Source organism: Homo sapiens, chromosome 11 (assembly GCF_000001405.40).
Source record: "Homo sapiens chromosome 11, GRCh38.p14 Primary Assembly".
In the NCBI taxonomy this organism is placed as follows: domain Eukaryota; kingdom Metazoa; phylum Chordata; class Mammalia; order Primates; family Hominidae; genus Homo; species Homo sapiens.
The window spans coordinates 66,578,009-66,593,127 of record NC_000011.10 but is presented as its reverse complement, the minus strand read 5'-3'; the positions used below and the strand labels follow the sequence as shown (position 1 = coordinate 66,593,127).

Sequence of the window (15,119 nt, the reverse complement as noted above, 5' to 3'; positions counted from 1 at the left end):
CTTCGTCAGCCACCGGGTGGCGGCCGCGCAGGCGCACTCGGGCCGTCGGGCTCCTGGTTGCCTTAGTAACCCCTCGGCTTTCTGTTCCTGGACGGTGGCGGCCGCCGGCTCTATGATGGAGCCCCCGAAGCCCGAGCCTGAGCTCCAGCGGTTTTACCACCGGCTGCTGCGTCCGCTGTCGCTCTTCCCCACTAGGACGACGTCCCCAGAGCCTCAGAAGCGCCCCCCGCAGGAGGGCCGGATTCTGCAGTCCTTCCCTCTGGCGAAGCTGACGGTGGCGTCGCTGTGCAGCCAGGTGGCCAAGCTGCTGGCCGGCAGCGGGATAGCAGCGGGAGTGCCTCCTGAGGCCCGACTACGTCTCATCAAGGTCATCCTGGACGAGCTGAAGTGCAGCTGGCGGGAGCCGCCCGCCGAACTTAGTCTGAGCCACAAAAACAACCAGAAGCTGCGGAAGCGGCTCGAGGCCTACGTGCTGCTGAGCAGCGAGCAGCTCTTCTTGCGCTACCTGCACCTGCTGGTGACCATGTCGACTCCCAGGGGGGTCTTCACTGAATCAGCCACCCTCACCCGGTTGGCCGCCAGCCTCGCCAGGGACTGCACACTCTTCCTTACTAGTCCCAACGTCTACCGTGGCCTGCTTGCCGACTTCCAGGCCCTGCTGAGGGCAGAGCAGGCCTCTGGGGATGTGGACAAGCTGCACCCTGTCTGCCCCGCTGGGACGTTCAAGCTGTGCCCTATCCCCTGGCCTCACAGCACTGGCTTCGCCCAAGTGCAGTGCTCTAACCTCAACCTGAACTACCTCATCCAACTCAGCCGTCCACCAGAGTTTCTCAATGAGCCAGGAAGGATGGATCCAGTGAAGGAATTGAAGTCCATCCCTCGGTTGAAGAGGAAAAAGCCTTTCCACTGGCTGCCCTCCATAGGAAAGAAGAGAGAAATCGACATCAGTTCCTCACAGATGGTGTCGCTGCCCAGCTATCCTGTGGCCCCCACCAGCAGGGCTTCCCCCTCGCCTTTCTGCCCTGAGCTCCGGAGAGGCCAATCCATGCCCTCCCTGCGTGAGGGCTGGAGGCTGGCAGATGAGTTGGGCCTTCCTCCACTCCCATCTCGCCCCTTAACCCCGCTGGTCTTGGCTACAGAGAGCAAACCAGAGCTGACTGGGCTCATCGTGGCTGAGGATCTGAAGCAGTTGATAAAGAAGATGAAGTTGGAGGGGACTCGCTACCCACCACTGGACTCAGGCCTGCCTCCTCTCCTGGGGGTTGTGACCCGTCACCCAGCTGCAGGGCATCGCCTGGAGGAGCTGGAGAAGATGTTGAGGAACCTCCAGGAGGAAGAAGCCTCTGGGCAGTGGGACCCCCAGCCCCCCAAATCCTTTCCACTTCACCCACAGCCAGTGACCATTACTTTGAAGCTTAGAAATGAGGTCGTGGTCCAGGCGGCTGCCGTACGGGTCTCTGATAGAAACTTCTTAGACTCTTTCCACATTGAGGGGGCCGGAGCCCTGTATAACCATCTGGCTGGTGAACTGGATCCCAAAGCCATTGAAAAAATGGATATTGATAACTTTGTTGGCAGTACTACCAGGGAGGTCTACAAGGAGTTGATGAGCCATGTCTCTTCTGACCACTTACATTTTGATCAAGGGCCCCTAGTTGAGCCTGCAGCAGATAAAGACTGGTCGACCTTCCTGTCCTCAGCCTTTCTACGTCAAGAAAAACAGCCTCAAATCATCAACCCTGAGCTGGTTGGACTTTACTCCCAGAGAGCAAACACTTTACAGTCCAATACTAAGAAGATGCCCTCCCTCCCATCACTCCAAGCTACCAAAAGCTGGGAGAAGTGGTCAAACAAGGCCTCCTTGATGAACTCATGGAAAACCACCTTGTCTGTGGATGACTACTTCAAGTACCTCACCAACCATGAAACAGATTTCCTTCATGTCATCTTTCAAATGCATGAAGAAGAGGTTCCTGTGGAGATTGTGGCCCCTGCCAGAGAGTCCCTAGAGATTCAGCACCCTCCCCCATTGCTAGAAGATGAAGAACCAGACTTTGTGCCAGGAGAGTGGGATTGGAACACTGTGCTAGAGCACAGGCTAGGAGCTGGGAAGACACCCCACCTGGGAGAACCCCACAAAATTCTGAGCCTGCAGAAGCATCTGGAACAACTGTGGTCTGTGCTTGAGGTCCCTGACAAGGACCAGGTGGACATGACCATTAAATATAGCTCCAAAGCCCGCCTGAGGCAGCTGCCTTCATTGGTGAATGCCTGGGAGCGGGCCCTGAAGCCCATTCAGCTGCGGGAGGCATTGCTGGCGAGACTAGAGTGGTTTGAGGGACAAGCTTCCAATCCCAACCGCTTCTTCAAAAAGACCAACTTGAGCTCCAGTCACTTCCTGGAGGAGAATCAGGTCCGAAGCCATCTCCACAGGAAGCTCAACTTAATGGAGTCTTCTTTGGTTTCCCTCCTGGAGGAGATAGAGTTAATCTTTGGCGAGCCAGTGATCTTCAAGGGGCGGCCCTACCTGGACAAGATGAAGAGTGACAAAGTGGAGATGCTCTATTGGCTGCAACAGCAGCGGCGGGTTCGCCACCTGGTCTCGGCCCTGAAGGATCCCCACCAGTCAACCCTGTTCAGGAGCTCAGCAGCCAGCCTTTAGTAGCTCCTGGGAATACCCCTATTACTCCTTGACCAGGCCCAGTGCCCTCAAATGCCTCCCTCACCCCTAAATGGCCAGCAGCTCATCTAGACCTCTTTACTGCTTTGGAAGAAGAAATATTTGTCTATATCTGGGAGTGGAGGGTTCAGGAACATTATGCTTCCAACTATGAAGGGATTGAGACTAAAACTATTGTTTTCTTAGTGAAATTCTCATGAAAGAATCCCCAAGCCTAGTAGTCCCATTATGTCAAGCCTTGCACAATACAAGCCAAATCTCCTATATCAAAAGAACTGAGACCTTGGAGTTAATTGTAGTGGGAAGGGTCAGAGGCAAAGGTGATCTTTGGAACAACTCACTTTAGCATTCCTATCACACTACATTAAATTGTCACCTCTTTTAGTTCTCAAACACTATTAGGAAGAAGAAAATTAATTAAATTTTTACCAGTTACGTGCACATGGTACAAAGTATACCAGGATGTGTACTGAAAAGTAAGCCTTCCCATACCCACCTCCAATGTCTGTTTCGTGCTGTGGGGATAAGTGTTACAATTTTTAAATTTAATTTAATTTTTATTTATGTATTTATTTATTTTTTGAGACAGAGTCTCACTCTGTTGCCCAGGCTAGAATGCAGTGGTACAATCTCAGCTCACTGCAACCTCTGCCTCCCTGGTTCAAGCGATTCTCCTGCCTCGGCCTCCTGAGTAGCTGGGATTACAGGCGCCTGCCACCACGCATGGCTCATTTTTGTATTTTTAGTAGAGATAGGGTTTCACCACGTTGGCCAGGCTGGTCTCAAACTCCTGAGCTCAGGCGATCCACCTGCCTCAACCTCCAAAAGTGCTGGGATTACAGGTATGAGCTACAGCACCTGGATTTTTTTTTTTTTTTCAATTTTAGAGATGGGGTCTTGCTCTGTTGCCCAAGCTGGAGTGCAGTGGCCTGATCATAGCTCACTGCAGCTTGAACTCTTGGGCTCAAGCAATCCTCCTGCCTCAGCCTCCTAAGTAGCTGGGACTACAGCTGCTCACCACTGCACCTGGCTAATTTTTTGAGTTTCTTAAAAAAAAAACAAATATATATATATACACACACACATACACACACATATATATGTGTGTGTGTATATATATATGTGTGTATATATATATATTTTTTCTTTTGAGAGGGAGTCTCGCTCTGTCGCCCAGGCTGGAGTACAGTGGCGCAATCTCGGCTCACTGCAAGTTCCGCCTCCTGGGTTCATGCCATTCTCCTGCCTCAGCCTCCTGAATAGCTGGGACTACAGGTGCCCACCATCACGGTCAGCTAATTTTTTTTTATTTTTAGTAGAGACGGGGTTTCACTTTGTTTTTTAATTTATTTTTTTATTGATAATTCTTGGGTGTTTCTCACAGAGGGGGATTTGGCAGGGTCATGGGACAACAGTGGAGGGAAGGTCAGCAGATAAACAAGTGAACAAAGGTCTCTGGTTTTCCTAGGCAGAGGACCCTGCGGCCTTCCGCAGTGTTTGTGTCCCTGATTACTTGAGATTAGGGATTGGTGATGACTCTTAACGAGCATGCTGCCTTCAAGCATCTGTTTAACAAAGCACATCTTGCACCGCCCTTAATCCATTTAACCCTGAGTGGACACAGCACATGTTTCAGAGAGCACAGGGTTGGGGGTAAGGTCACAGATCAACAGGATCCCAAGGCAGAAGAATTTTTCTTAGTGCAGAACAAAATGAAAAGTCTCCCATGTCTACTTCTTTCTACACAGACACGGCAACCATCCGATTTCTCAATCTTTTCCCCACCTTTCCCGCCTTTCTATTCCACAAAGCTGCCATTGTCATCCTGGCCCGTTCTCAATGAGCTGTTGGGTACACCTCCCAGACGGGGTGGTGGCCGGGCAGAGGGGCTCCTCACTTCCCAGTAGGGGCGGCCGGGCAGAGGCGCCCCTCACCTCCCGGATGGCGCGGCTGGCTGGGCGGGGGGCTGACCCCCCACCTCCCTCCCGGACGGGGCGGCTGGCCGGGCAGAGGGGCTCCTCACTTCCCAGTAGGGGCGGCCGGGCAGAGGCGCCCCTCACCTCCCGGACGGGGCGGCTGGCCGGGCGGGGGGCTGACCCCCCCACCTCCCTCCCGGACGGGGTGGCTGGCCGGGCGGGGGGCTGACCACCCCACCTCCCTCCCGGACTGGGCGGCTGGCAGGGCGGGGGGCTGACCCCCCCACCTCCCTCCCGGACTGGGCGGCTGGCCGGGCGGGGGGCTGACCCCCCCACCTCCCTCCCAGACGGGGCGACTGGCCGGGCAGAGGGGCTCCTCACTTCCCAGTAGGGGCGGCCGGGCAGAGGCACCCCCTCACCTCCCGGATGGGGCGGCTGGCCGGGCGGGGGGCTGACCCCCCCACCTCCCTCCCAGATGGGGTGGCTGGCCGGGCTGAGGGGCTCCTCACTTCCCAGTAGGGGCGGCCGGGCAGAGGTGCCCCTCACCTCCCGGACGGGGCGGCTGGCCGGGCGGGGGGCTGACCCCCCCACCTCCCTCCCGGACGGGGCGGCTGGCCGGGCGGGGGGCTGACCCCCCACCTCCCTCCCGGACGGGGTGGCTGCCGGGCGGAGGGGCTCCTCACTTCCCAGATGGGGTGGCTGCCGGGCGGAGAGGCTCCTCACTTCTCAGACGGGGCAGCTGCCGGGCGGAGGGGCTCCTCACTTCTCAGACGGGGTGGTTGCCAGGCAGAGGGTCTCCTCACTTCTCAGACGGGGTGGCCGGGCAGAGACGCTCCTCACCTCCCAGACGGGGTCGCGGCCGGGCAGAGGTGCTCCTCACATCCCAGATGGGGCCGCGGGGCAGAGGCACTCCCCACATCTCAGACGATGGGCGGCCGGGCAGAGACGCTCCTCACTTCCTAGATGTGATGGCGGCTGGGAAGAGGCGCTCCTCACTTCCTAGATGGGATGGCGGCTGGGAAGAGGCGCTCCTCACTTTCCAGACTGGGCAGCCAGGCAGAGGGGCTCCTCACATCCCAGACGATGGGCGGCCAGGCAGAGACACTCCTCACTTCCCAGACGGGGTGGCGGCCGGGCAGAGGCTGCAATCTCGGCACTTTAGGAGGCCAAGGCAGGCGGCTGGGAGGTGTAGGTTGTAGCGAGCCGAGATCACGCCACTGCACTCCAGCCTGGGCACCATTGAGCACTGAGTGAACGAGACTCCGTCTGCAATCCTGGCACCTCGGGAGGCCGAGGCTGGCGGATCACTCGCGGTTAGGGGCTGGAGACCGGCCCGGCCAACACAGCGAAACCCCGTCTCCACCAAAACCAGTCAGGCGTGGCGGCGCGTGCCTGCAATCGCAGGCACTCGGCAGGCTGAGGCAGGAGAATCAGGCAGGGAGGTTGCAGTGAGCCGAGATGGCAGCAGTACAGTCCAGTCCGGCTCCGCATGAGAGGGAGACCATGGAAAGAGAGGGAGACCGTGGGGAGAGGGAGAGGGAGAGGGAGAGGGAGAGCCGGGGTTTCACTTTGTTAGCCAGGATGGTCTTGATCTCCTGACCTCGTGGTCCGCCCACCTCTGCCTCCCAAAGTGCTTGGATTACACGCGTGAGCCACCGTGCCTGGCCCCAAATATATATATATATATTTTTGAGCTAGGGTCTTGCTCTGTTGCTCAGGCTGGAGTGCAGCCTTGAGTGGGGGATTTCATTTCCTTTTCATTCATCCATCATATATTTGATGTACATTGTCTATGGGTGTGGCAGTGTGCTAGGCAGTGAAGAAGCAGCAATCAGGAAAGCTGAGAAATCTCTGCCCTCAAGGAGTAGGTTCAGACAGAGCCAATAAACACATACAGTGGAAATAATGGGGGAAAGAGGCATGGGGAGTCCTGTGGATCACCCATGACCTGCAGCCTCAGAGACATTCCCTTCCTCCCACGAGAGTCTCGGCTAAGTATAGATTCTACCTGAGCCTAACCAAGCTCTGTGATCTGGCCTTTGTGTTTCTCACCTCATTATAGTTTTATCCTATGCCTACAAGACATCATCATGCTCACTTCACAGGTGAGAAATGCTCAGAGAAGCAGAGCAATTTGCTCAAAATCTTAGCGACCAGGTCCTTCTCTGTCATCCAGGCTGGAATGCAGTGGTGCAATCATAGCTCTCTGCAGGCTGGAACTCTTGAGCTCAAGCCATCGTCCCACTTTGCCCTCCCAAAGTGCTGGGATTACAGGTGTGAGCCACTGCATCAGGCCTGCTCAGGTCTTACAGTTAATAAGTGATAGATCAAAATGTAAAACTTGTGCTTCTGTGGACACCATCAAGCAAGTGAAAGACACAGAATAGGAGAAAATATCTGTGATCATAAACCTGATAAGGGAATCGTATCTAGAATATATAAATCTTAACAATTAAGAAAGGCAAATAACTCAGTTTTTACATTGGTGAAGGATTTGAATAGATATTTCTCCAAAGAAGATATACAAATGGCCAATAAACACATAAAAAGATGCTCAATATCATATTTACTAAAGACAGGCAAATCAAAACCACAATAAGATACCACTGCACACACACTAGGATAGCAATAGTCATAATAAAAAGGACAACATGGAGGCCGGGTGCAGTGGCTCACAGCTGTAATCCCAGCACTTTGGGAGGCTGAGGCTGGCAGATCACCTGATGTCAGGAGTTTGAGACCAGCCTGGTCCACATGGTGAAACCCCATCTCTACCAAAAATACAAAAATTATCTGGGTGTGGTGGTGCACGCCTGTCCCAGCTACTTAGAAGGCTAAGGCAGGAGGATCCCTTGAACCTGGGAGGCAGGGGTTGCAGTGAGCAGAGATTGCACCACTGCACTCCAGCCTGGACAACAGAGCAAGACTCCATCTCAAACAAAACAAAACAAAACAAACAAAAAAAAATCATGCTGAATGAAAGACACCAGACACAAAAGATCACATATTGGATGATTCCATTTATATGAAATATCCAGAATAAGCAAATTCATAGAAATAAAAATTAGATTAATGGTTACCAGGGGCCGGGGGAGGTTGGGGGAAATGAGAGTGACTGCTAATAGGTATGGGGTTTATTTTAGGGGTGACGAAAATACTCTAAAATTGATTGTGGTGGCCGGGCGCAGTGGCTCACACCTATAATCCTAACACTTTGGGAGGCTGAGGTGGGCGGATCACTTGAGCTCAGGAGTTCGAGACTAGCCTGGGCATGAGCTGGTAGATTTTGGGGGTCTTTGTGGGCATTAATGAGCGGAGGTATGGGAAACTCCCTGCTGGGCACAGTGATTGGGCTGCTCAGCACATAGCAGTTGCCCAGTTTGTTTTTTCTTTTTCTTTCCTCCCAGGCCAGTGGCCTAGTCTCTTAGCTGAGTTCATGGTTAAAAGCTGACAACAATTAGGAGTCTACAGGACAGAAGACTTTAATGGTTGGGGCAAAGTGGGGCAGTGGGGCTCTATGAATAGGCAGTGAGCACAGGGCCATGGCAGAAGATGAGTTGGAACCAATGTCAAAAAGGACCTCCTGGCCGGGCGCGGTGGCTCACACCTGTAATCCCAGCACTTTGTGAGGCTGAGGTGTGTGGATCACCAGAGGTCAGGAGTTCAAGACCAGCCTGGGCAACATGGCGAAACCTCATCTCTAATAAAAATACAAAAACTAGCTGGGCATGGTGGCACACACCTGTAATCCTAGCTATTCGGGAGGCTGAGGCAGGAGAATTGCTTGAACCTGGGAGGCAGAGGTTGCAGTGAGCCAAGATCGCACCACTGCACTCCAGCCTGGGCGACAGAGCAAGATTTTGTCTCAAAAAAAGGACCTCCTGGTGCCTTGTTCTCCCTTATCCCCATGGTAGCAGAAAGACACGGGCTTTGGAGTCACCCAATTTCTACTATTTATTTATTTATTTATTTATTTTTGAGATGGAGTTTTGCTCTTGTTGCCCAGGCTGGAGTGCAATGGCACGATCTTGGCTCACTGCAACCTCTGCCTCCCGGGTTCAGGCGATTCTCCTGCCTCAACCTCCCGAGTAGCTGGGATTACAAGCATGCACCACCACTCCCGGCTAATTTTGTATTTTTTTAGTAAAGACGGGGTTTCTCTATGTTGATCAAGCTGGTCTCCAACTCCCGACCTCAGGCAATCTGCCCACCTCAGCCTCCCAAAGTGCTGGAATTACAAGTGTGAGCCACCGCGCCTGGTGAGATTTCTTTTTAAAAATATTTTTCTTGTTTGTTTCTGAGACAGAGTTGTACTCTGTCAGCCAGGCTGGAGTGCAATGGCATGATCTCGGTGCACTGCAATCTCCACCTCCTGGGTTCAAGTGATTCTTGTGCCTCAGACCCCTCAGTAGCTGGGATTACAGGCATGTCCCACCATGCCTGACTAATTTTTGTATTATTAGTAGAGATGGGGTTTCACCATGTTGCTCAGACTGGTCTTGAACTCCTAAGCTCAAGTAATCCACCTGCCTCCCAAAAGTGCTGGGATTACAGGCATGGACCGTTGTGCCCAGCCCTTGAGATTTTTTAAAATTATTATTATTATTTTTTTTTAAAATGGAGATGGAGGCCGGGTGCGGTGGCTCATGCCTGTAATCCCAGCACTTTGGGAGGCCAAGGAGGGTGGATCCCAAGATCGAGACCATCCTGGCTAACATGGTGAAACCCTGTCTCTACTAAAAATACAAAAAATTAGCTGGGCTTGGTGGCAGGCGCCTGTAGTCCCAGCTACTTGGGAGGCTGAGGCAGGAGAATGGCATGAACCCGGGAGGCGGAGCTTGCAGTGAGCTGAGATCATGCCATTGCACTCCAGCCTGGGCAACAAAGCGAGACTCCGTCTCAAAAAAAAAAAAAAAAAAAAGGAGATGGAGTCTCTGTCTCTACAAAAAAAGAAAAAAAGAGAGAGGCAGAGGCAGAGAGAAATATGTTGCAGGTGCGACTGGCTGGAGCCAGTGTTGTGGGCAGTAAAAGAATTTACCAAGACAATCATGGGGAAAGAAAGGCAGATTTATCAGAGGGAGAGTACGATGCAAGGAAGCAATGGGAAGCACAGCAGAGACGGGGCTGTCTGCAAAGAGGCAGGGGCTGGAGGGAAGTTTTACAGGGTTGTCCTGGAGGGGCTACATGCGAAGAGAGGTATTGGGGAACAGAAGTTGTGCCAGTGACTTGTCTGTGATTAACTGTCTCTTGGAACAATTGTTCTCCCCCACCTGGGACTCCTCTCTTGTTGCTTACTGATTTTATAAGTGTAAAAAGTAAAGTAGAGATTCCTCTTCAAAGAGATTTTCCTCCCTGTCTAATTAGGAATAAATAGTAACTTCTCTTAGAAGCAAAATGTATTCAAATATCTGTGCTAACATTCTTAGATATCTGCTAGCTGTAATAAAAAAATCAATGTGCTTTGTGTTCTTAGCTCCCACAATTTAGCCTAAATACTTGCCCTGCCATGCTTATACTGGTCCAAGCAAGCATTAGGTCATAGCCTGTTCCTCCTCCTTATTTGGAGGTGTTTTTACCTTTCTCAGCATTCCACAAGTTACTTCCTTCTTCCTTTGTTCTCTGCCTTTGCCTCTTTTAGAAAGTTCTAAGTTGCTAGCCAATCGGGACAAATACAGAATGTGAGGTCCTCTTCCAGCCAATGGAAATTGGACACAGCAGTAGGGTGGATCCATCAGGTTATAAACAACCCAGTCTCCTTTGTTCAGTGCACTCTCGTGGCAAAACTGCTGGCGAGTATACCCTTTCTGCAGGAAGTAAAAATGGCCTTGCTGAGAAAATTAAATTTATGTTCAAGTGCTATTTCTTTGTGGCACTGGGGAAGAAGCATTTCTAACATCAGGACTCCACAGATATGGCAAAAACAGAGAGAGAGAGAATTTATAATTTTTCCATTTTCTTTAAGAAAATTTTTTTGGGCTGGGCGTGGTGGCTCACACCTATAATCCCAGCATTTTGGGAGGCCGAGGCAGGTGGATCATAGGTCAGGAGATCAAGACCATCCTGGCTAACATGCTAACACGGTGAAACCCCGTCTCTACTAAAAATACAAAAAATTAGTCTGGTGTGGTGGCGGGCGCCTGTAGTCCCAGCTAATCAGGAGGCTGAGGCAGGAGAATGGCGTGAACCCGGGAGGCAGAGTTTGCAATGAGCTGAGATGGCGCCACTGCATTCCAGCCTGGGCAACAGAGCGAGACTCCATCTCAAAAAAAAAATACTTTTTTTGTAGGCTGGGCACAACGACTCAGGCCCATAATCCCAGCACTTTGCGAGGCTGAGGTGGGGTGGGTCACTTGAGGTCAGGAGTTTGAGACCAGCATGGGCAACATGGTGAAACTCCATCTCTGCTAAAAATACAAAAATTAGGGTGGGTGCAGTGGTTCACACCTGTAAACCTAGCACTTTGGGAGGCCGAGGCAGGTGGATCACTTGAGGTCAGGAGTTCGAGACCAGCATGGCCAACATGGCGAAACCCTGTCTCTACTAAAAACTCAAAAAATTAGCCAGGTGTAGTGGTGCGCACCTATAGTCCCAGCTACTCGGGAGGCTGAGGCGGGAGAATCGCTTGAACCCAGGAGGCGGAGGTTGCAGTTAGCTGAGATGGCACCACTGCACTCCAGCCTGGGTGACAGAGTGAGACTCTGTCTAAAAAAAAAAAAAAAAAGAGAAAAATTAGCCAGGCATGGTGGCTCATGCTTGTAATCCCAGTTACTCCAGAGGCTGAGGCAGGAGAATCGCTTGAACCTGGGAGGCGGAGGTTGGAGTGAGCTGAGATTGTGCTGCTGCACTCCAACCTGGGCAACAGAGTGAGACTTTAATCTCAAAAAGAAAAAAAATTTTTTTTTGTAGAGACAGAGTCTCACTATGTTGCCCAGCCTGGCCTCAAACCCCTGACCTCAAGCAATCCTCCCACCTTGGCCTCCCAAAGTGCTGGGATTACAGGCATGGGCCCCCCACATCCGGCCCAGACAGATTTCTTGCAGCTCTTGCATCACAGGCTTCCACACTTGTACCCACCCCCACCCCACAGATGGTGGTGTTAGTCCAGGTGTGTGACTAGCTTCAGGTTTTAAATCAATATACGTAAATCTGACCAAACCTCCAAATGACGACTTGCCAGCTGGTTAAGGCAGGGATTTAATTGTTAAGATGTCATGCCCTCCTAGGTCTGCAGGCCTCAGACCACCTAAGATGACCTTTTTAAATTAAAAGATAATTCCTGAGAAGGATTTCGCACTGAGCCCAAAGCAAGCACTAGCTGAGTATTATTATGATTGTTGTTGAATGTCTCCTCTGAGTTATGCAAAGGTGAAGTGAGTTAGAGGTCATTCTGGGATTATGGTGTAACAGGAAGCTTTTGGAAAGCTCTAAAGTGCTATAGCCTGAGATCTTGGCAAAGAAAGTAGTGAGGAGGATGTGAATCCATTTGTGTATGAGGCCCTGGGGCTTTTAGGGGTGGGAGTGGAGGTGGGGAAAGTCAGTATCCCAATCTAACTCTTGACGTGATTCAGCAGGAAGATCTGGAGGTGGATCAGAGCTGCCCACGCAAGGCTAAGGGACAGTCCCTGAGATGAATTCAGTCCAGGAAAGAAGTCTGGTCTCAAAACATGAGGCCCATGGTCAGGCGCGGTGGCTCACAGCTGTAATCCCAGCACTCTGGGAGGCCGAGGTGGGCGGATCACCAGGTCAGAAGATCAAGACCATCCTGGCTAACACAGTGAAACCCCATCTCTACTAAAAATACAAAAAATTAGCCATGCATGGTGGTGGGTGCCTGTAGTCCCAGCTACTTGGGAGGCTGAGGCAGGAGAATCGCTTGAACCTGGGAGGCAGAGGTTGCAGTGAGCCGAGATTGCGCCACTGCACTCCAGCCTGGGGCCTGGAATGTCTATCCTTCTATCCATCTATCCATTCTATCCATTCATATGCCCATCCATCCCCATCCATTCATTCATTCTACAAATATTAGGGCAAACCAACTAAGGGCCAAGCCGTGCCATTTTTTCACCCTTGTTGACCTTAGTCCCTCTTGGGAGCCCCAACCTTATCATACTTGATCAAATTCACCTATACCCCATCTTAAGTAATGTGATATTGTAATTTTTTTTTTTTTTGAGATGGAGTCTCGCTCTGTTGCCCAGGCTGGAGTGCAGTGGCACGATTTCGGCTCTCTGCAAACTCTGCCTCCCGGCTTCAAGCGATTCTCCTGCCTCAGCCTCCCAAGTAGCCGAGATTACAGGCGCCCTCCACCATGCCCAGCTAATTTTTTGTATTTTTAGTAGAGACGGGGTTTCACTATGTTGGCCAGGCTGGTCTCAAACACCTGACCTCGTGATCCGCCCACCTCGGCCTCCCAAAGTGCTGGGATTTCAGGAGTGAGCCACTGTGCCCGGCAATCGTTGTTTTTGAGGCAGAGTTTTGCTCTCTTGTGCAGGCTGGAGTGCAGTGTCAGGATCTCCCCTCACTGCAACCTCTGCTTCCCGGGTTTAAGCAATTCTCCTGCCTCAGCCTCCCCAGTAGCTGGGATTACAGGTGTGCGCCACCATGCCCAGCTAATTTTTGTATTTTTAGTAGGGATAGGGTTTCACCATGTTGGCCAGGCTGGTCTTGAACTGCTGACCTCAGGCGATCCACCTGCCTTGACCTCCCAAAGCGCTGGAATTACAGGCGTGAGCCACCGTGCCGGCCGGTTTATGTTTAAGGAGGTCCCTCCAGCTGTGGCCTGCAGAGGAGCTTGTTGGAGGCAGGAGTGGATTCGGTCAGGCAAGCAATGGTGAGGGCTTGGTCATAAGCGGCGGCTACGGGAATGGGGAGAAGTGGACAGATTGGAGAGATATTGGGGGGAGGGCTGGACTCCAGGGCACTTGGAGATGGGCTAGACGTGCGGCATGAAGGCAAAGGAAGAATCAATGACATTTCCAATTCTCTGGACTGAAGAGCTGGGGGAATAGTGATGCCATATGCTGGGATGGGAGATTCCTGAGGACGGGTGAGGATGAAAACAATACGCAGCTCTGGCTAAGTTTGACATCCAGGCGTTGATGCTATGTAGGTGGTGTGAAGCGCAGGACCCAGATCTGTCCATTTTAACTTTTAGCCACACGTAGGGGATGTAAATTACGGCTGATTTTTATCCGGTGATGCCAAACTCCTCTCTGGCCCTGCCTCCCTGACTCAGTGGTTGCGCTTCGGAGTGCAGTGGCTGCGTGGGAGGTGAGAAGCCTGCAACTTCTTCCAGGGCTCCTGACACTCGGGAATGCGCAGGACCGAGCCTCAACAGCGCCACCGTGTGTCGATAGTCATGACCGCCGTGGACCCCCGACTCCAGTTGTTCTGCCAGCACCCTCAGAATCCAGTCCTCCCTCACTCCCCTGCTCTTTCGGACGAATTAATCACTGTGGATTCTGGAACGCTTAGCGGTGGGAAGAAGGGGTGGCCTCAAAAGAAAGAGGTAGGCCGGGCGCGGTGGCGCACGCCTGTAATCCCAGCACTTTGGGAGGCCGAGGCAGCGGATCACTTGAGCCCAGGAGTTGGAAACCTGCCTCGGCAACATGGCAAAACTCCATCTCTACTAAAATAATAATAATAAATAATAACAATAATAATATAATAGTGAAATATTGGCCGGCCTCAGTGGCACACACCTGTAATCCCAGCATTTTGGGAAGTTGAGGCAGGTGGATCACTTGAGGTGGAGAGTTCCAGACCAGCCTGGCCAATATGGTGAAACACCGTCTCTACTAAAAATACAAAAATTAGCCATGTGTGGTGATGCTGCGTACCTGTAATCCCAGCTACTAGGGAATCTGAGGCAGGAGAATCACTTGAACCTGGGAGGTGGAGGTTGCAGCAAGCAGAGATCGCGCCATTCCACTCCAGCCTGGGTGACAGAACAAGACTCCATCTCAAGAAAAAAAGAAAGAAAGAAATCTACATTTCCATATGCACAGCCTTGGTCAGGATCACACTAGAAGACATCTGAAATGGTCATTGTGAAGTGGGACTGTTCTCTTTTTTGTTTTCTCTTCCTTCCTTCCTTCATTCCTTCTTTCTTTCTTTTCTTTTTTCAGATGAAATCTCATTATGTTTCCCAGGCTGGTCTTGAACTCCTGGCCTCAAGTGATCCTCCCTCTTTGGCCTCCCAAGCAGCTGTGATTACAGGTGTGAGCCTGGCTTGGGACCACTCTTAAATACAGACTGATACAGGCATGTTAACTTCAGAGACATGATCTTGTGAATGGTGAATGACTCCTTGTAAAGATCTGAGCTCATGTAAGGAAAATTCTTTTGATTTACATTTAGCTACATTCCTGGAAAATTCAGTATATACTAAAACTGTGTATATAATATAATGTGTTTACATAACTAACAGAGTTAGGGTTTTCAGCTCATAACTATAAGCAGGTTTTCCACTCATGTAAATAACTTATAGGACATTAGAAAGTTGTGCAGGACATGGAACAATG

General features: G+C 51.6%; 1 protein-coding gene across 1 annotated transcript, besides 7 other annotated features; it reads left to right on the top strand.

Annotated features, from left to right (window-relative positions):
* Positions 65-2,952, top strand: CCDC87 (coiled-coil domain containing 87). Its single transcript, NM_018219.3, has one exon. It carries the CDS (start codon positions 113-115, stop codon positions 2,660-2,662), a length of 2,550 nt encoding a protein of 849 aa, NP_060689.2. The 5' UTR covers positions 65-112; the 3' UTR covers positions 2,663-2,952.
* Positions 79-168: an enhancer, noted in NCBI's record as "active region_5052". NCBI's record gives its function as "activates an Ori minimal core promoter by ATAC-STARR-seq in GM12878 lymphoblastoid cells {active_cell/tissue: GM12878}" and the evidence as "EXISTENCE:reporter gene assay evidence [ECO:0000049][PMID:35858748]".
* Positions 79-689: a biological region, named in NCBI's record as "H3K4me1 hESC enhancer GRCh37_chr11:66359910-66360498".
* Positions 101-689: an enhancer, noted in NCBI's record as "H3K4me1 hESC enhancer chr11:66359910-66360498 (GRCh37/hg19 assembly coordinates)". NCBI's record gives its function as "activates a minimal SCP1, AML or CMV promoter by ChIP-STARR-seq in naive H9 embryonic stem cells {active_cell/tissue: H9 hESC(naive)}" and the evidence as "EXISTENCE:reporter gene assay evidence [ECO:0000049][PMID:30033119]".
* Positions 199-308: an enhancer, noted in NCBI's record as "active region_5051". NCBI's record gives its function as "activates an Ori minimal core promoter by ATAC-STARR-seq in GM12878 lymphoblastoid cells {active_cell/tissue: GM12878}" and the evidence as "EXISTENCE:reporter gene assay evidence [ECO:0000049][PMID:35858748]".
* Positions 479-538: an enhancer, noted in NCBI's record as "active region_5050". NCBI's record gives its function as "activates an Ori minimal core promoter by ATAC-STARR-seq in GM12878 lymphoblastoid cells {active_cell/tissue: GM12878}" and the evidence as "EXISTENCE:reporter gene assay evidence [ECO:0000049][PMID:35858748]".
* Positions 690-1,279: an enhancer, noted in NCBI's record as "H3K4me1 hESC enhancer chr11:66359320-66359909 (GRCh37/hg19 assembly coordinates)". NCBI's record gives its function as "activates a minimal SCP1, AML or CMV promoter by ChIP-STARR-seq in naive H9 embryonic stem cells {active_cell/tissue: H9 hESC(naive)}" and the evidence as "EXISTENCE:reporter gene assay evidence [ECO:0000049][PMID:30033119]".
* Positions 13,599-14,412: an enhancer, noted in NCBI's record as "H3K4me1 hESC enhancer chr11:66346187-66347000 (GRCh37/hg19 assembly coordinates)". NCBI's record gives its function as "activates a minimal SCP1, AML or CMV promoter by ChIP-STARR-seq in naive H9 embryonic stem cells {active_cell/tissue: H9 hESC(naive)}" and the evidence as "EXISTENCE:reporter gene assay evidence [ECO:0000049][PMID:30033119]".

Bases quoted from the DNA above. Each gene is read 5' to 3' on its own strand.
- CCDC87 (NM_018219.3), top strand. From the start codon at position 113: ATGATGGAGCCCCCGAAGCCCGAGCCTGAGCTCCAGCGGTTTTACCAC.